Source organism: Homo sapiens, chromosome 9, assembly GCF_000001405.40.
Source record: "Homo sapiens chromosome 9, GRCh38.p14 Primary Assembly".
Taxonomy (NCBI): domain Eukaryota; kingdom Metazoa; phylum Chordata; class Mammalia; order Primates; family Hominidae; genus Homo; species Homo sapiens.
The window spans coordinates 79,624,752-79,644,798 of NC_000009.12; the positions used below are offsets into that span (position 1 = coordinate 79,624,752).

General features: G+C 37.8%; 1 protein-coding gene across 50 annotated transcripts in view; it reads left to right on the top strand.

Moving 5' to 3' along the window:
* Nucleotides 1-20,047, top strand: part of TLE4 (TLE family member 4, transcriptional corepressor) — a 154,918-nt gene that overhangs the window by 52,787 nt on the left and 82,084 nt on the right. For 39 of the 50 annotated variants that reach the window (NR_104239.2, NM_001282760.2, XM_011518952.2 and 36 more), the window contains one exon: nucleotides 2,623-2,697. The exons of the other annotated variants lie outside the window; for them this stretch is intronic. Coding sequence is in view for 38 of the 39 variants with exons in the window: in XM_011518952.2 (XP_011517254.1) it covers nucleotides 2,623-2,697 (75 nt within the window). In the remaining variant the exon portion in view is untranslated. The remainder of the gene's footprint in view (nucleotides 1-2,622; nucleotides 2,698-20,047) is intronic. 50 annotated transcript variants of the gene reach the window in all.

Here is a 20,047-nt window from a genome sequence, read left to right on the forward strand (position 1 = left end):
AAGTAAGTGTTGAACAGTCTTCATGCTAGAATGGCACTAAGTAGATGTATTTTCCATATCTCCGTCTCATGGAAACTATTCTTTGAATACTTGCAGATAATATTTCAACAATAGGGAGAATTGGTAGAGTAAGAGCTTTAAAACTTTTGTTGAATGAATGAATGCGTGAGTAGAATGAATGATACCTGTGTTGGATGTGACTTAAGTGTGGTCCTTTGTTTCAGTTCCGAAGTTTTAAGTTTCTTTTAAATCTATTTCTTTTCTTTTTTTTTTTTTTTTTTTTTTTGAGACGGAGTCTCGCTCTGTCGCCCAGGCTGGAGTGCAGTGGCGGGATCTCGGCTCACTGCAAGCTCCGCCTCCCGGGTTCACGCCATTCTCCTGCCTCAGCCTCCCAAGTAGCTGGGACTACAGGCGCCCGCCACTACGCCCGGCTAATTTTTTGTATTTTTAGTAGAGACGGGGTTTCGCCGTTTTAGCCGGGATGGTCTCGATCTCCTGACCTCGTGATCCGCCCGCCTCGGCCTCCCAAAGTGCTGGGATTACAGGCGTGAGCCACCGCGCCCGGCCTTAAATCTATTTCTTTTAAGATTTAAAAGAAATACCTGAAGTTCTTAAACTTGAGTTCTATGTTTTTGATCGCTTTTAAATATGCAGCCCTTCATGATAGGAGTTAAAACACGAACAATTTGCACATTTCCAGAAGAAACATGTTTGTTGTATTCTGTATGTCCTTCCGGTGTCTACACTAACTGATATCATTGTTGAGTATAGGAAAGTAAAAGGTGGAAAATCCCATAAACATTTCTATCCTACTTTTTTTTTTGTTTTCCAAGTACTGCCATTTCTCACCATCTAGAGAATCAAATTGTCTTCAATGTGAACATGAGCTCTGTGTTTGGCACATAGTAAGTGCTCAACATACATACATGGTCAGGTTGGCTTTAGGGGAACCTGAAATGACAATTGCTGGCCATTTTATTGACTGTGCCCTTCTATTCCTTCTAATATTTTCAAAATCCCTTAAGACTTTTACTTGCTTCAGAGAAAGAAATTTTTTTCTTCCATGTTAGCAAATATTATAAGGAATAAAAGAATGGAATGGACATATCTATAAATAGACTTTTATATTTATATAAAATAAATAAATATATATTTATATATATTTTGGGATTGCTTCTTAAGCTCCTGCTTTGAAAATGGAATGCATACAATTTAAAAACATTAAAAAGTATATAGTTTAATAATCAGAGTCTATTAAAAGCTTAAGATTCTATGGTCTATTATTTGACATTTTTCTTCCCATTAGTCATAGACACAAAATACACATTTCTATTAGGAAACCAAGAGTGAAAACATCACATTGTAAATAATTAAAGTCGTTTCCTTTTCCACCTGGCCTCCCCACTCCCCTTACACAGCTCAGAGGTGGAAATAATGGTCACCCTAGTTAATCTCAGTAACTATATTTGAGGATTTTGGAATGGGGGCCAGGTGGTTCACGGAGAATTCCACATTGAACTGATAGCTCTTTGTATTATTAAGCAGTGTGGTAGTTGAGCTTCATACTCATCTCAAATAAGTGAAGAAAGTTAGCTAAATTTCTCAACTGAGATTAACCAAAATAAGACTCTTCAGATGTACAGAGGAGTACTTGTTTCACGGCGCAGTTCCTTTGGTTCTTCATTCACTAAACCAAGTTGAAAGAAACCCAGTAAGACTGATTTTAAACCAAAATTGACTGTAGATACTAGAGTGGTCAAATGTTTTAATGGGAAATAATATTTAGATAATATTTGGAGGGGGTAATTCTTGTAAGCACTTCTGTGTCTAGATATATATGAGTGCCCCTATACAGAGACTTCCATGCTACTTTTTCTGTACAAAAATTACTAACATCAGTTCTTACTTATTCTCACTGGAACTGAGTTGTGGATGGAGGGATTTTCCTGTACTGTCCGTCCTAGTTTTTCTAAGAAAAAAAATTATCGTACACTTTTGTGGGCTTTAGTTTTTCTGTTGGATTTAAAAGAAATACCTGAAGTTCTTAAACTTGAGTTCTATGTTTTTGATCTCTTTTTAATCCCTATCTCATGATAGGGGTTAAAACACCAACAATTTGCACATTTCCAGAAGAAATATGTATGTTGCATTATGTATGTCCTTCCGGTGTCTTCGCTAACCGTTATCGGGAGAAAATTTAAAAATAATTACTTCCAGGAAACAATTTTTAAAAATTTTAATGTAGATAGCAAAGAGAAAAGGTAGTGAGTACAAAGAAAGCAAGTGGGATGGGTTCTGTTTTGTTTGTTAGTACTAATAGCAGATGGGTGGTCCAAGTGTACCATAACTTTTAAGTGAAATTTAAGCTGTTGTAAAGGAGCATTCTTCATGGGGTCACAGAGATGGTACCTGCAGTTGGATGCCCAGTGACTCCTCAACTTTGTGGACCCAGATGTACCCTAGACATCTAGTCATCCATCACCTCAGGCTTGTATTGGAAACCTGGAGATCCCCCAAATGCTGTTTTGCATGTAACTGAAGTTAGAGGACATGTTAGGAAAAGCTGTTCTTGACTGAGTAGAAAACAAATAATTGTATTCTGTTTCTGATCTTCATTTATAGCACCAGCAACAAGTGGTGCAGGCTGTGGAACGGGCCAAGCAGGTGACCATGGCAGAACTGAACGCCATCATTGGGGTACGTGGCCTTTCCATTTTAGCTCTGATCTTAGTGTTTGTCATCAGCTCTCTCGCTCTCTCTTTTTACATTTTGTTCCGCCAAAGGGGCAAAAAGCAATAGATGACTACAAAATGAAATTAAGCACTTTGCCTTCAATCTCCTGTGAAATTTGATGGCTGCCTTAGAAACTTTGGATCACATTCTCACCAATTTAAGTGGATGTGTTCATGAAAACTCTCCTCTAAGGAGACTGGATAGCTCTTTTTCATATTTCTTTGCTTTGCAATCAGCTTGTGTTGCTAACCTAGGCCAAAAAAAAAAAGAGATATAGATTGCCCTGACGTTAAAATGACCTGGTTTCTTTTTTCTTTCCTTGAATAATCATGTAGAGTATCTTACTATCATTTTTAATGAGGTGTACATTTTCACATCTCCCGTTCTACTTATTCTTCCTTCCCCTGTCATGAGTGGCTCTTATGGGTTAGTGTCCATTTGAAATAGAAATAATAGATGAACTACACTTTATTTTTAAAAAAATCAGTGGCCCATTTAGAAAATCCTTCCTGGCAATAGTGGCATTAATGTTGCATAGAAATTGTGCTGGAATTCATGGATTTGGGCAGTCACTTCAACTCTGCTTATATATGTATGTTTTTTTTTTCTCAGATTAATGTAACAGGCAATAAAATAATGTGCTGAAACTTAGAAATAACAATAAAGGCAAGAAATCACAGCTGTAAAGAGCATAATATTCACCTCTCTATTTATGCAGATTGTACAAGCAGTTCCTTGGGTTATTCTAATGAAGACACTACAACTGCACTTTCCTCTTTCTGTCCCCTCCCAAATACTTTCTTTTGTGTATAGATTATACACAAAAGTCTTTTTTTTTTCTGTCAGTGTATCAAACACACTTTGAAATGCTAATTATTTCGTTTACTTTCATTAAAATTCAAATTGCTGAGTGAAGATGTGGATAAGGGTCGCCTGATAATCAATCTGAAGTGAAGATATTGCTTCAATTATTCCTCTGTCTTTTAACAAGGAAATCAGAACTCTGGGATCACTGCTGATGTTGAGGGCGCCATAGTCTGATTGTAGCTTGTTTTTTAATGGGGTATTTGGAGCTCTATTTTATGTCCCTCTGACCAAAAAAAAAACCAAAAAAACAAAAAAAACCTGGTAGGAAATTAGCAGATGTAATGAATGGAAAAGAGTGACCTTTATTTCCTCCAGAGTGCCCCTTGGAAACAAGAGGCTGAATCAGAAGAAGCCATGTAGAATCATGAATAATGTTTGTCATACATTTTGTGTGATGGGCAGGGGAAGGGACGGATAGTAGAGACGAATACATTTCGCAATTGGTTTTCGTTTCCAAAAACTCCAGGAAACAGCAGTATATTAAATTTTTAAAAGTTGAGAAAGGTTTAATTTTAAAGTTAAGTGTGTGTGTGTGTGTGTGTGTGTGTGTGTGTGTGTATATGTATAAACCAGCTGTGCTCCATTGACGTGTGTGCACAAGTGCAGGTGTTGTATTCACTGTGGATATTTTTGTTACCAAATCTTCCAGGGGTCAGAAGGGATAGAACCTACATTTCTCTACTGTCTCTACTGTTTACCATGGAGAGAATGTGCAGAGTGATCCCTGATAGGAGAGGTTGCTGGGTCATTTTTAGCTTAGCGTTTACTGTTTGTATGAATGGCTGAAATACAGATAGCCCTCCTGCCTTATGTGTGATTGGCAGCCTTTTCTAGGAAAACAGAATGGATTATTATTATTTTTTTTTCCTTTTTTTGAGTCTTTTAATGACTGTACAGTGGAGAGATTAAGCTAAATAAAAAACACTTTGTTTATGTGTTGGATGTTGCTTAATATGAGGGAAGATATAAAATCAGAACAAGTTCCCTTCACTTCACATCAAGAATATTTTTAATATTGTTTTATATTTATTCATTTTTATATACTTTATTTGGAATGGAATGGCCGATTGCCTTTTCTTGGGGAAATGAGGATTTATTAGACTGCAGCCAAGTTACTGACATATTGTGTTTATATGTATTTAATTATTAAAATAAAGCTAACTTAATTTTGTGACCTAAAAACTTAAAGAACTAACTCAGCAGTACATTCTGTCAAAGCAGCGTTACGTGCTATCAACGCGGCATATACTTGGATATAGTTGGATATAGTTGGATCTGATGAGTCTTCCAAACTCTTGGTATCTGAGCAGAAAATGGAGTCGGAAATCACATTATCTGACTATTCTGGAAAATAGATTGCAGAAATAGGAAAACAAACCCAACAGTTTTAGAGAACCACAAACCAAGTGAGAAGGAAAGAGCTCAGTTACAAACTCACTTGACAAATTTTTGCTGCTGAGGTTCTCTTTGTCTTTTTAGCCATGGTAGTGCTTGCATCCAGTAGTTTTTGCAGTTGTAACATTGTAGTATTTTAAAGGCACTTGCTGTTCTCTGTCCCTTGAGCGTAGATGGCTGGCTGAGTTGGTGGTATTTTGACACGCTACCAAAAACAACTAGGGGTCAGTTTTTAGATTTTTGTTACTTGGTTTTTAGAATGTAGTCAGCAGTGATTTTCTGCACTGAAGGAATGACAGTTTTCCTTTGAGAGGCAAAGACCCATCTAAGCCCCTGCAGACCCTCATTTATTTATCACTACATATGTGTCTATTTTATATGTATGCACACCATCCAGACAAGAGCAAATGTTCCCAGATTTAATGAAATCTGATGAAGCACCTTTTTAACTCTGCAATATTATTCTACCTTCATTGGTAAATGAGCCAAACGAGTGATCCATGCAGTTTAAATGCAAAATGCTGAAGTGATCCCGTAATCTGGAGAGGCGGCTGTTCTCTTGACAATAAGCTGGTTGTGTTTAATGGAATGAAACACAGTTATAATGATTTCTTTCACAGGTCATGTTCAGTTTAAAACTGTTGATAGATTGAAATAAGTTAAATATCATTTATCTTTTATTTATAAGGAAGAAAACCAGGAAAATTCCTGTGTTGGTTTCCCATCGTTGATATTTTGTGTTTTGTTTTGAATTGGTGATATTACACATTTCCTTCAGGCCTTCCCCAAGTTCCCTCAGTTGGGCTAGGGGAACGTTATGGATCTAGTTTGATTTTGTCATGTGTCCTGCTAGCCACTGTGTTTTTAAATTAGAATCTCTGCGAGATCACACTGTTGGAACAACACACAAATTGTAGTTTTAAATCAGTAATATGATCTAATTAGAAATGATGTTTTCATTTCCTGTATTATTAAATTGAGTCACCTGACTATCTTAAAATGCTTTTTAAATCTATTACACTATATAATCAGTACATGCTGTGTGAATGTGGTTATGCTTAATAAAGGAGGCTGACTTGGAACCTCATAAGAATTTCACCAAAGAAACTACCATTAAGAAAAAAAGTTTAGTCAGTGTGAATAGTGGAAAAGAAAATGTTTGGCTTATAAAAATAGACGATGTGGGTTCCTTTGGAAACCCCCTAACCCACTTTTTAAACCTAATTCTGAGGAAAAAAAAATGATAGAAATGTATGCGTTTGGAAAAAAGCTCACCCCCATCCCCAATAAACCCTTAGGAAACAGGTATGCCATGGTGTTGTAGGAATTGCAGTTTAGCACAAGAAATGCTGAACCTCAATTTTTAGCAGTGACATTTTAATGATAGGAAGTCTGCAAAATTATTTGCCATCAATTGTGAAGGCAATAACAAGCCTTGGTGGTTTTTCACACTCTCTGTGTTAAGTGCTTTCAGAATGACAGCGTAAACTGTGTTAGAGAACTCCAAGGAAGTAAAACTGATTAAAATGTTCATGCTTGAATGGTGCTGATGGAATAGTTCATTTGGACTTTCTCTACCTCCTGCAGCTCAAGCTGAAATATTAAAATTCAGTGGATTTAAATCTCTTTCCTCTCAGCTCAGGAAAAAAACATTACATTTTAATAGGTTTTAAACCCATAATTCATTGGATTGGAGCAGCACTATTAAATCTATTTAAATATTACTTGTATTACTAAGGAAATGATTTAAATGACTTTGCCTTTACCATCCTATGTGTTTGAGTTAGTTTAAAAAAAGAAAGACAATACCTTTGCGGTCCCCCCCTTAGTATTTTGTTTTCTTGTCCTTGTCATATGATTGAACCTTAAATGTGTGTGTGTGTGTGTGTGTGTGTGTGTGTGTGTGTGTGTGTGTGTTTTCTACATTGACAACGTGGTAAGAGGGTCTTGCAGTATGACTGTTTAAAAATGTATGTCTCTTCTTTTCCGTTATAGATTTCAAAACTGCCATTTTAACTTTCAAAGGCATTTGGATGAGCCACCGTGGTCATTTTCCTTGTATTCTTTTTAAACAGTTTAGCCATTAGGCAGAAAGGGAAAGATATAAATATGTGGGTATATATAAAAATGTGTGTGTGTGTGTTTCCCTCCCTTACATTGCAAGTGTAGGAAATATACCCCTGTGGATACATGGCCTCCAGTAACACACAACTTGAAATTAAATTTAAAAATTTACGTTTTTTTACAAAAGTATTCTTCCTGGGCCCACCGTGTACCCCTCAGTTCCTTTCTCTCTAGCCCTTGCCACTACAACATGTGTCCCACAGCCTGACAGCACCTCCAGTCAGCCATAGCGCGAAGTGCTTGCTTTCCCCCAGTGCTTTGTGGGAAACCTTTGTGGGGAATCCACCCTTCACTTACACAAGCACAGCCTGGAAAGTGCAGGAATTACAGCTGCATTGGGTAACCCTGAATCCCACAGGGAAACAGAGTTAGTGGAATGCTCCCCGCATTCTCTGGGGGAGACACCTGTAAGATGCCTTCTATGCTACTCCACAAAAGGTTCCAGTAGGATGGAGCTTCAGTTGCCCACAGTAGTGATAGGCTAGATAATACATGTTTATTTTGAGTTTTCCCCCTTCCGTGGTTCACTATTCATAGGCCCGTACTCCTGTTCTGTGATCATTTCAAAATTACCTGCAGCCAAGCCCTCTCCCTCCACTTTCCCGGCAGACACTTAGGATTTGATTTCATAGGCCTCAAGCTACTTAAGGGGGCTTTACAGTGTAGGTAGGTAATTGTAGTCATGTACTAGAGTCAGGGCTTGTTTTCTGATGTGAGTTCTGTGCGTAAAACATATTTAACAGCTCAACTGTACAACTCAGCTTTTGTGTTATTTTTTAAATAAATATTTTTCAGTAAACTTACAGGTGAGCTTCTCTATCTTGTTCTGCTTCTTGCAGCTGATTACTATTGGTATTTTCTAGATGTATGTAATACAGAATGAAATTAAAAATGAGCTATAAAATAGATTTATCAGAGATTGTTATTTCAGCTTTGTTACTGTCTTTACTGAATAGTGTGCCTGGAGCTTAAAGGCTTTATAAAACATGCTGGCCACTGTCTGTGTCGTGTACACACACAGCTTGCACAATGGGGGAAGGGGCTGGCTTGAAGATGCACTCACTTGGAGGGCTTTACTCACCTGCATTCATCAAACACATGGCAGGAACACCAAAGCAGTTTTACATCACATTCTTTCTTCTTTATCTTCTGTGGGTGTGCCTGCCCCTCACTCTTTTTCTTTTCTTAACTGGTTCATTTGCCATGGAGCAGGGGACTACATTATTGAATGATGTATTCATAATCTAATCTTTCTGCTACGGTTTGATGAGGCTCTAAGAGGCAGTAATTTCCCTTCTCTCATAACAAAGACTCTCATATATTTAAGTAATTTAAAAACTCTGCCTGCACTTCAGAGACGCCCAAAAACCACTAGGTAAGGAATAGGATTTCTGATTTGTGCTTGTGATGTGCTCTCCGTTATTTTCTATGACAAAGCTTCTCTGGAAGAAATTTCTAGAAGCCAGTCTATCAATCCTCTCACCTCCAAAACTGGGACTAGCCAGCAATGCTACAATTTTTCTTTCTGTTTGGAGCTGAGCCATCCTTTCCTTTCCCCCAGTGAATGCACTTCCATCGCTGTAGAGTTGAGTTCAAAGTGTTATAAGAGTTGCAGAATGTGTCTGGGTAGATGTATCTGAGGAAGGGATATGGGCATTGGCTTCCACTGAGAAGAAAGTAGTTCTCCCAGATCCACAGAGCTCGGCAGGCTGAGCTTATGCAGAGGTCTGAGGAATGGTTATATAGAAAAACAGGCTAAAACAGAGAATAAGGCAACCTGCAAGCTTGCAGTTCCAGAGTGTTACCCCATTTTATAGGTTGTTTTGTTTTGGTTTTGTGTCACTTTTGTAATTCTCTGATGATTTCCTGCCAGCAGTGTTTCCACAAGCAGCATCACCAACTTCCGTATAGTCAGAGACCTTTTTCCTTGTGGTGTCAGACTGCTTTGTACCCCTCGAAGCTGAGAGGGAGGGAAGAAGCATGGGCTATAAGAGACAGTCTCACACCAAACAGGCAACTAAAGGGTTATTGACAGTGGTTAACTGTCAAGCACTTAGGTGAGGTTTTTAAGGACTTTTGTTGCCTGTTCTCAAAGCTCCCTAAGAAACCAGTTTGGGAATCCTTCTACCCCAAAATGCATGTGTGGTCTTAAGTGTTGTCCTTAAGACCTTTGTGAAAAGGTTAGAACTCTTTAGTGAATAGCAAGAGTTATTTAATGATTATGTCCATTCATTCATTCAGTAAATATTTGAGTACTTTCACCAATATCCTATTAAAGGGGCATATTTTATTTTCATTTTGAGTGATATTTTAAATTGTCTTCTGAAATATATTCTGAAATGATCCTCAAGTTACATTTAAATCATTCTATTAAAATTTTGGTAGCTGTCAGCTTGCTGGTATTACATTGTACTTACAAATAATCAACTTTTAATTAACGCATTTTAATTTCAATAAAGCTAGTTTCCATGGATAACAGAGTAAAGAGAAATAGTTAATAAAAAACATAAGAATGAAGCAGCATACATTTACGGATTTGTATTTTTTTATATTTGCAGATACATTTTCAGATATTTGGATTAGGAATTTAGAAATTCATTATTGATATTCTCTATTACATCAGATTTAATGAGACGTAATCTGCAAAAAGTAAAATTTACCCTTTCCAGTGTGTAGGTCTTTGAGTTTTGACAACCGAATACAGTTGTGTAACTGCCACCACAATCAAGATACAGGATAGTTCCCTCCACCCCAATCCCTTGTTACTCTTTGTAGTCAGTCATTTTTTTCTATCCCAGCCCCCGCCAACCATTGAAAATGTGTCTTCTTCCAAAGTGAGCCTTTTTGACAATGTCATGTAAATGGAATTATATATCATGTAGCCTTCCGAGGTTTCTTCTTTTACTTAGCATAAGGCATTTGTGATTTGTCCATGTGGTTGCTCATATCAGTAGTTAGTGCCTGTGTATTGCAGACTGATATTCTATTGTATGGATATACCAGTTTATCTGTTCACTCCTTAAAGGACAGTTGGTTGAATAAAGCCACGAGAAACATTCTTATTTGGATATTTTAAGTAAGTGAATGTAAGTTATATCTTTTGGGTGATTACCTAGAAGTGGGATTGCTGAGTTACATGGTAAATGCACGTTAAACTTTCCAAGTAATTGACATACTGTTTCTCAGAGTGATTCTACTATTTTGCAGTTTCACTAATATATTACATGTAAGAAAACCTTTCCTCTACATCTTTGTCTGCACTTGGAATTACAGGTTTTGGGGAGGTTATTTTAGCCATCCTAATAGGTGCATAATAGTACTTACTGTGTTTTTTATGCATTTTCATAACAATTAATGATGTTAAGTGTCTTTTTTGCTGTCTCTGTATCTTTTCTGATATCTGTTCAAATCTTTGCCTCTTTTTTTTTCATCAGTCAGTTTTATTATTGAGTTTTAAGAGTTCTTTAATTTTCTGGATTTTTTTGTGTATTTTGTAATTCTCCCAATCTATAGTTTAACATTGTCAAAGTTAAACTTAGGCTTTTTTTTTCCTTTATGGACTTTTGGTGTTGTCTGTAAGTAATCTTTGCCTAACCGAAGACCGCAAACATGTTATTCTGGGGTTTCTTGTAGAAGTTTTACATTTAGGTCTATAATTCAGTTCAATTTTTGTTTATGGTAAGATATATGCATTAAGTTGAGGTTTTTTTTTTTTTTTCCCACAAGGACATGGATTCAGTTTTTCTAGCACTATTTGTTGAAAAGGCTATCCTTTCTCCATTGATTTGTCTTTGCACCATTGTTGAAAATCAATTAACCTTATATGTATGAGTGTATTTCTGACTGCTCCAATCAACTGTTGCCGTCTCTTTTGCTAGTGCTATACTGTGTTGATGACTATAGCTTTCATTATTGATGTTCTCCATTCCGTTTTGCACTTGTTCTTCCTGTTCTTCCTTGCCCTTTGCAGTACTCCTCAGCACTTCAGGTCTTTATCATCAGTATACTAAAGACTGACTGATGGATGAAGGGAAAGGGTCTAAGCTCAGTATAAACACTTTCTCTCATCAGAAATGGTGTCTGCTCCACCTCCTAACATTTCTCTCAAGGTTGAGCGCATTTTTCCATCTCCTCCTGGTCCAAGTAATGCCTTTAGCTAGACTCTTCCAGCCTCTTCCTGATAGGCTACCATGTTTCCGCATTTGTCTTTCTTTCATTCTACACACAGCAGCCAGAGTGACCTTCTTATAAAATAGAAATAGGATCTATTGGTCCTCTGCTTAAAGCCACAGTGAGTGTGGTGGTGTCGTCTATATATATGAGACTATATATAGTAGCTGAGACGCTACTCGGGAGGCTACTGGATCACTTGAGCGCAAGAGTTCAAGACCAGCCTGGGCAACAGCAGGATTTCATTTCTAAAAAATTTAAAAAACAAGCAAATGAAAAACCCAGGAAAACCTGATGGCTGCCCCTTTTATTTAGAAAAAGGTCTGAATTTCTAACCTTGGCCTACAAGATTCTTCATGAGCTGACCCCTCTTTCACTGGCCTTTCTGCTGTCACATACCACTTATGTTCTTCATTCAGCTGTCCTTAAGCCACTTTGGCCCCTTTCTTCTGTCCCTGGGTCACTCCAAGTGTGTTCTCGACTGAGGGTTTGTGCACCAGCTTCTCTGTCCTCTGGATAGCCCATCCTCTGGATCCTAGAGTGGTCTTCCTTATGCCTCTTTTCAGAGTGTCAGCTCAGATGTTATTTCCTGAGGAAGGACTTTCTTGGCTGGCACTCTTTTTACTCTTTGCTTCTAATTCATTCTCTGTCCCATTAACCTGTTTTATTGTCGTCATTGCACTTACCATTGATTTGTTATGCATCACTTTCCCTTGACTAGCTAGTGAAATCTCATTCACTTTTGTAGCCATGAAGCCTAGAGCGATAGGTATCTCATAATTTTCAATACGTATTTGTATGATAAATATTCAGTAACTATTTGTTCAATAAATTTGCAGTAATTTGTTCATAATAATTTTCCATAGATGTTTGTTAAATACTATGCTCTGGGATATTTTCTCATTTGGATATTCTCCGTACAATTTTGAGCCAAGATAGAAAAGGAAGCGCATGGACTGGTAGAAAATATACAGTTCTGGGTTTCACTTATAGTATGATATTAGGAATTTCATTTAGGTTTTTTCATCTGTAGAATGCAAGGCTGGAGCTGGCCTATTTATTTTGACGTTAATGGAATTTTTATTTTAAAACTTGGGGTCCTTTTGTGTCATAGTTATTTTTCTAGGTTTATCACCTCCCTAGGCTTGTATTCTTTTCCTGAAAAAGGTAACTAAATATAGTAGATGTTATTGAATATTCGCTCTGTGTTAAGCATTTACATGCATTACTTTGTTTAATCTTCACATCAACCTCATGTGGAAGGAAATACTGTTCCAGCTTTACAAATAATGAAACCAAGGGCTTTGAAGAGGTAAGTCATTTTCTGAAGGCCACACAAAAGAGGAGTGGCAGGACTGGGATCCAAACTCCAGCTGACTTCAGAACTCACACATTTAACCATTATGCTACACTTGTCTCTTATTTGTTCTCTTGACTCTGTTCTTTCTTTCACACTGTCATCAATAATCTCTTTATCTTGAGATCCACTGATAGGATTGTCCAGCCAGAGCTCAGTGTTGGAAGGAAAATGGAAACTGGGTATGCTGGGTCCACATACTAAGTGGTTAGTCTAAATTGTCTGAATTATATTAGTTCCACAGGTCAGTTGGATACTCTTGACTCATACGTTGTTGCTTCCTGTCTGTTGTATCTTACTCTTATGAACAAGAACTGAAAGTTGTTATAAACACAGCTGTTAAGGCAGGTGTTTTAACCCAGTGTCCTTGGATCTTCTGGAATTTCATGCTTGGGCATTGGGCTGTCAATTAAATGCCTGAATTGCTTGCAGAATTGCCTGTGTGTGTGTGTGTGTGTTTGGGGTTGGTAGGAGAGGAGTATGTATAGTTTTTGGAGGAGAGTGTTCACAAAGGGTCCTGTGACACAAACAAGTTTGAATCCATGCCTTAGTAGAATAGGATTGTGCAAAATCCTGATATGAAATAGCAAAATATCATGTGGGGTGCATGTAGACAAAAAATATTTGCCCGTAGCAGCGTGGGGACACATTCTAGGATGGTTGTTCAGAAACTTGGAAATCAGGAGTTTACTTTTGTAGGAGGGTTTCTTGATTAAGAACTATTGTTGGTACTCTAGTTGCAGGCAGCAGTAGGTGAGGCAGGGGACATGACTGGTGGTGAAGACCATAAAGGGGCCCCCACCAGGCCAGTGGCTAGTCAGGAGATATAAACAAGTTAGAACTTACAGGGATTGCCATTATGTTGTGGGGAGTTCTATCTTTGAAATTACTTCATTGCTTTGTGATAAGCTCTATACTTCTCTGCTTCTATTTCTCTATCTTGAGAAAACCTTGTATGCCTGACTTGTGAATAACAATTATTTCATGAGATAGAGTAATATTGCAAACTTAAAAAAATGGTTTTGACTAAATAGTTAGAGCTAACTGTGCCTTTGACCCCAACCTCTTAAGAAAAACTCAGAATGGTACATTCTTGAATCCTTTTTAAGGCAGCTCTATAGCTAGTCTGACCCTTGTGATTCTCATGCTTTTTTTTTTTTCTTGGTAGATTCATAAAAATGGTGAGAGTTTATCTTTGCTCAGATTGTTTTCTGTGACCATCAAGGGCAGTGCCACTATGGTCCCGAAGCAAAGTGGCAGTAATGTTGCTTTTTTTCTTTATTTCCCTAGAGTGTTTCTGGGTTGACTCAAAGCAATTTGTAGACACAGCTCTGCACAAATTAATATCTGGGAGAAGAAACAGTTGAGAGGAAAAAACAGTTTAAGTTGAGATCTACTTGGATTGAAAGCTCAGAGGTTGTTCTTGGGTTTCTTTCAGCTAATAGCTTCAGAATGGCCTCTGAGCAAAGATAGATGTCGAGGCAGGCTTTGTTGTTTGTTGGTTCTCCCTTGCAGGCAGAGGCTACCCTCTGCTATCAAGGCTAAAGCATTCCAGGAGCTCTTTGCAGGCTTCCTTACAGAAGAACTGTGGGCAAGTGACCCTATCCAGGTCAGCGAGATATAAAAAGATGTGGTTTTCTTCTTAACAGAAACCCATGGAGAGAGAATTATCCTCCCTTCTGCATTTTAATATGGTTATGTGAAGGCATGAGGTAATGTGTGGAGCTGTGGCAGCCATCTTGTGATGGGAGGGGATGGGATTTGAGGGATGCCACATGAATCAGGGACCCAGAGCCCTGATAATGTTAGGTCATCTATCCATCCCTGGACTTGTAGTGTGAGAAATAAAAATTCCTTTAAAAAAAATTCAGGCCATTTTTGGGTATTCTATACCTTGCAGAGGAACTATCTTAACTCAAATATATAGTTACATGCCATATAATAATGTTTCAGTCAAGGACAGACCACATATATGACAATGGTCCCATAAGATTATAATGGAGCTGAAAATATTTTATTGCCTAGTGACATTGTAGCTGTCGTAACACCACAGCAAATTACTTTTTAAATAATTTTTTTGTAGCAGTGTAGAGTAATTATAAAGTCTGTAGTGGTGTTCATTAATGTCCTAGGCCTTCACATTTACTCACCACTGACTCATTCAGAGCAAATTCCAGTCTTGCCAGTTTCATTTATGATAAGTGCTTTATATAGGTGTACCATTTTTTATCTTTTATACTGTATTTTTACTATACCTCTTCTGTGTTTAGATACACAAATACCATTTTGACACAATTGCCTACAATATTCAGTGCAGTAACATGCTGTTCAGGTTTGTAGCCTAGGATTAATAGGCCATATTGCATAGCTTATGTGTGTAGTAGGTTATACCATCTAGATAAATATACTCTATAATTGCACAGTAATAAAATTGCCTAAAGACTCATTTCTCAGAATATCCCTATAGTTAAGTGGTGTATGACTATAGATAGATACATATATATTTCTATGTTAATGTCATGACTTATGTATATCAAAATACTGGGAACAACCTGAACACCCAACACTGGGGAACTACTTAAGTGAACTCAGGTATGGCAGTACAGGTTGCAAAGAACAGAAGGAGTTGAGTGTTACTTTGAAGACAGAACTAGAAAGACCTGGTTATGGAAGACGGCAGAGTGAGACTAAGTGGAGGAATTCAGGACACCCTGGAAATTTGGAACATAAGTAACTAGGTAGATAGTTGTACCATTTACTCAGATGGGGCAGAAGAGAGAAGGAATGGCCATATGAATACAATGGCATACCATGTAGCTGTTAGAAATGATGTAGTCAAGGTGTATTAAGGATGTGGAAAAATGTTCTTAATACATGGTAAACAGGAAACGAAGAAACAGGTTAAACCACAAGATAGTTTGAGTTACTTTTGTTAAAAATGCTAACATGAATTCAAAAAATACTGGATAGGCCCACCATGATATTACTAGTTTTCTTTGGCTGGTAGGATTATGTGTGGCTTTTAATTTTTTTTTTCACTCCGCCTATCTTCATTTAACATATAAGTTTCTAATCTGAAAAAAGCTATAAGACAAAATTCTATTCATATGGCCATTCCTTCTCTCTTCTGCCCCATCTGAGTAAATGGTACAACTATCTACCTAGTTACTTATGTTCCAAATTTCCAGGGTGTCCTGAATTCCTCCACTTAGTCTCACTCTGCCGTCTTCCATAACCAGGTCTTTCTAGTTCTGTCTTCAAAGTAACACTCAGCTCCTTCTGTTCTTTGCAACCTGTACTGCCACAACCCTAACTGAAGTTATCATTCATTATTTTCTTGTTTGAACCCCCTGCATTACCTACTAGCCGGTCTCCTGCCCTTCATTCTTGCCACTCTCAGATTCAGAAAATTATTATTTTTTAATATTCTAGCTTAAAATACTTACTAGTCTTTATAAAGGCCAGTTTAAGCTGGTTTACACACTCAAGCTTAAAATACTTGGTGGTCTTCTTTATATAGGCCAGTGAAATAGAATAAAATACTAAGAAATAGATTCACTTGTATATGTCAGAATGGACAAGCAGATCAGTGGGGAGAAAGATGGAAGCTAGTAAATATTACTGTGGGGCTACCTGGTTATTCTTGTGGAAAAGAATTGGATACATACATGTCACCATATGCAGAAGTCAATCCTAGAATCATAAAAAGAACTTTAAAACTTAAAAAAAAAAAACAGGAAGAATCTTTTTTTTTTTTCTTGGAGTAGGATTTCTTAAAAGGGTCACAGAAAGCCCAACCCATGAGAAAAGATTGATAGTATTTAATACTCACTTGGAATGAAAAACATCTGTTCATCAAAAGATGCTTTAAAGAAAATGAGAAGACAAGCCAGAAACCAGGAGAAGTTATTTGCAACACATGTAACCAAAAAGTGATTATGATCCAGATTTATACCAGTTAAAGAGCAACTAAAAGTTCAGCTTAAAAAACAAAACCAAACCCCAAAACCCACCGTAGCCTAGAGCTCTAATTATTCTTAAATAAAAGTCAAAAACCCTTAGTGTGCACAGCCTGATTCCCAGAATATACTTGTATTCTACCCGACTTCCCCATTGCTCACTGGATTCTCACTAGGCTTCCTTTTACTTCACTGGTCACAGCAAGCGTCTCTCTTGTTCTGGGTCCTCTCAACTGCTTTTCTCTTGCTTCTGATTCTCCCAGCTGTCTGCAGTGTGCTGTCATTTGCATCCTGCAGGTCTCAGTTCAAAGGTTATTTCCCCAGAGGAGCTGCCTCCATTTATTTTTATGAATGAATGATTGCTTACCCCTTCCACCCTAGTTGAGAAAGGGTCCTAATTGGGCAGCAGGTACATCACTGGACTAAATGGTAGGGGCTTGTGCTCCATTTCTTGATGCTAATACCATCTCCCACTGACTCTCTCACCTAGGAGATCACACATGTGAGTGTTGGCCTGGTTTAGCGTTCTTCAAATTGCAGCTCAAGAGACTCATGAGTGTACAGTGAAGTCTATTTAGTGGGCATAGTGGACTTTTTTTTTTTTTAATTAAAAAAGGGTATAGAAGACTATAGAAAATATTAGCGTATGTTGCACATAGTAGTGTTTGGTAAACTTTGTTAATTTACACGTATATTCTATGTAGACACACACACATATGCACATAGACACACACACAGAAATTGTGGTCAAAATTTTGGAAAGCAAGTCTCCTAGATGACATCTGAGGTTCATTCCACCTCTGACGTTCTAAGATCAAATGCAGGATTACTGAACAACCTAAAGCAGATAGGCTTTTTAAATGCTGCTTTACTTAAAAAAAAAAGAAAAAAAAGAAGAAGAAATTAGAGATGGTGTCTGACTGTGTTGCCCAGATTGGAATATAGTGGCTATTCATAGGTATAATCATAGGGCACCACAGCCTCAAATGCCTGGGCTCAAGTGATCCTCCTGCCTCAGCCTCCCGAGTAGCTGGGACTACAGGCACATATATGCCACTCTGCTTGGCTCAGCTTTACTTTTTTTTAAAGTACTCTGAAGTAACTAAAGAAAGCTTTTCTGAGTACATTCCCTTAGCTTGGTGACTTTAAAGACTAAAACTTACAAAATAGAACCATTGGTATCAGTAAGATGTTAAAGACTAAAAATTTTTCTTAAGTAGCTTAAACAAGCTTCTGGGAAATTGTATTTCCATTATTAATTTGCTTAGAAGTACAATTACTAATAAACTTTTGGCCAATTCATAAAATACGCTAACGGGATCACTAATGGGAAAGTTAATAAATCAGGGTTTTTGTAGTTTTCTCCTTCTTTTCTTGCCATTATTACTTCATGAGTTAAACTACAAGTTAGGACAATGGAGCCGCTGGCAAAGATCTCATGATTTGCTTGCTTTGGTTGTTACTTGCCATCCCCTTAAGACCAGTCCAGAGATTTGGAGGACTACAGAGATCTGTGGTTTGTTTAGCTTGAGAAGCTTATCCTTTCAGTGATAATCTTACTTGGATTGCTCTAAATGCATGTCTTCTCCCTATAGTAAATCTCATGTTGTAAGTCATCAGGAATGAGTTACAGATAAGCTTAGTTTGAAAAGTTTCTTCCTTTGTTCTCTTTATTCTTGCTTCTTTCCATATATTCACTTAACCTTTAGCTTTTTCTAGAGATATTTGTTAAAGTAAGGTAAGAAGGGCACATCTTATTTTCCCAGCCTCTACAACTACAGAGAAATTGAATGAATAGTAGAGCAAACACTGTATACTCGTCACCTAGATTTACCGGTTAACGTATCGTCACTTTTGTTTTCTGTCTCTGTTTATATACTCATACAAATACATGTGCACTTTTTGGAATGTGCTGAACTAATTGAAAGTAAAAGGCAATCATGCTGTTTCACCCCCTAATATTTCAGTGTGCTTCTTCTATGAACAAGGACATCTTCCTGTATAAGCATAATACCATTAACACATTCCTATACCAGTGTGACAGCTCATAATCATATTTCTCCAATTGTCCACAAAATGTCCTTAATAGCACTTTTTTATTCAATCCAGGATTCAATTCAAAAATTGTCTTTGCTGTCATGTCTTTTTACTCTTCTTTAAATCACAGTGTCCGAAAGCATTTTGCTTTTTAAGATATTGGCATTTTGAAGATTCCAGGCCAGTTTTCTGGAATCTTCCACAGTCTACATTTGTCTGTTTGTTTCTGATTGTTTTCTCAAGTTTAGATTTCGGTTAAGTGTTTTTAGTAGGAATACTAACTAGGTGATGTGTATTTCCAGTTGTATCATATTACTGGTGAAGCTAGGTGATCCATGGGGTGATACCTGGGCACTATGAATAACCTGTTTCCCTGCAACTTTTTACCCAGTGGTTGTAATATCGATGGTTGAGTCTGTCTTGCATTAGTTAATACATTTGACATGGTAAAACAGTAAATTTTAAGTTATTTCTTTCCTTTCAAATTAATATTCTGTAAAGAAGAGCTTTTCCTGTTTTCTCCTCTCCTCGCTCCCTCACTCTCTGTGCATATGAAAATGTGGGCTTCTGGTACCTTTCCTTAATACTAGCAGTCACCATTTATTGAGTGTTTATTATTTGCCAAACACTGTGTGATATGGTTTGGCTGTGTCCCCACCCAAATCTCATCTTGAATTATAGTTCCTACAATCCCCATATGTGGTGGGAGGGATCTCGTGGGAGGTAATTTAATCAGGGGCAATTTTCCCCATGCTATTCTTGTGATACTAAGTTCTCACAAGATCTGATGGTTTTATGAGGGGCTTCCCCCTTCACTCGGCTCTCATGCTTCTGCTTCCTGCTGCCACGTGAAGAAGGGCATGTTTGCTTCCCCTTCCACCATGATTTTAAGCTTCCTGAGGCCTCCCCAGCCGTGCTTAACTGTGAGTCAATCAAACCTCTTTCCTTTATAAATTACCCAGTCTTGGGTATGTCTATATTAGCAGCATGAGAACGGACTAATACGCTGTGCTAAGGGTTTTATATGGATCATGTCATACAATTCTTCCAGCAACCTTGGGAGGTAGATTTTGTAACTAACTGTTCTCGCTTTTTACATGAAGAAACAGAGCATCAGAAATGTTAAATGACTTGTTCAAACAGGTAATAAGGATTCCAGTGACTCTGAGGCCACTTCATTGTGATGCTTCCCAAATGTCAGCCAGACTGTGCTTTCTCACACCTAGCCCGACTTACAGACAGGAGCGAGGCCAGCAGAACAACTGTCCATAGTAAATAGTGTCTTCACAAGCCAAGGAGTATGGCTACCAGCCCAGTCCTGGGCCCTTCCCTGTGCTTGCTGCTCTATTTCAGAGTCTGTTGCCTCTTCCTTTTTGGCTCCTTTCAAGGTCTGCTGAGTCTTCCC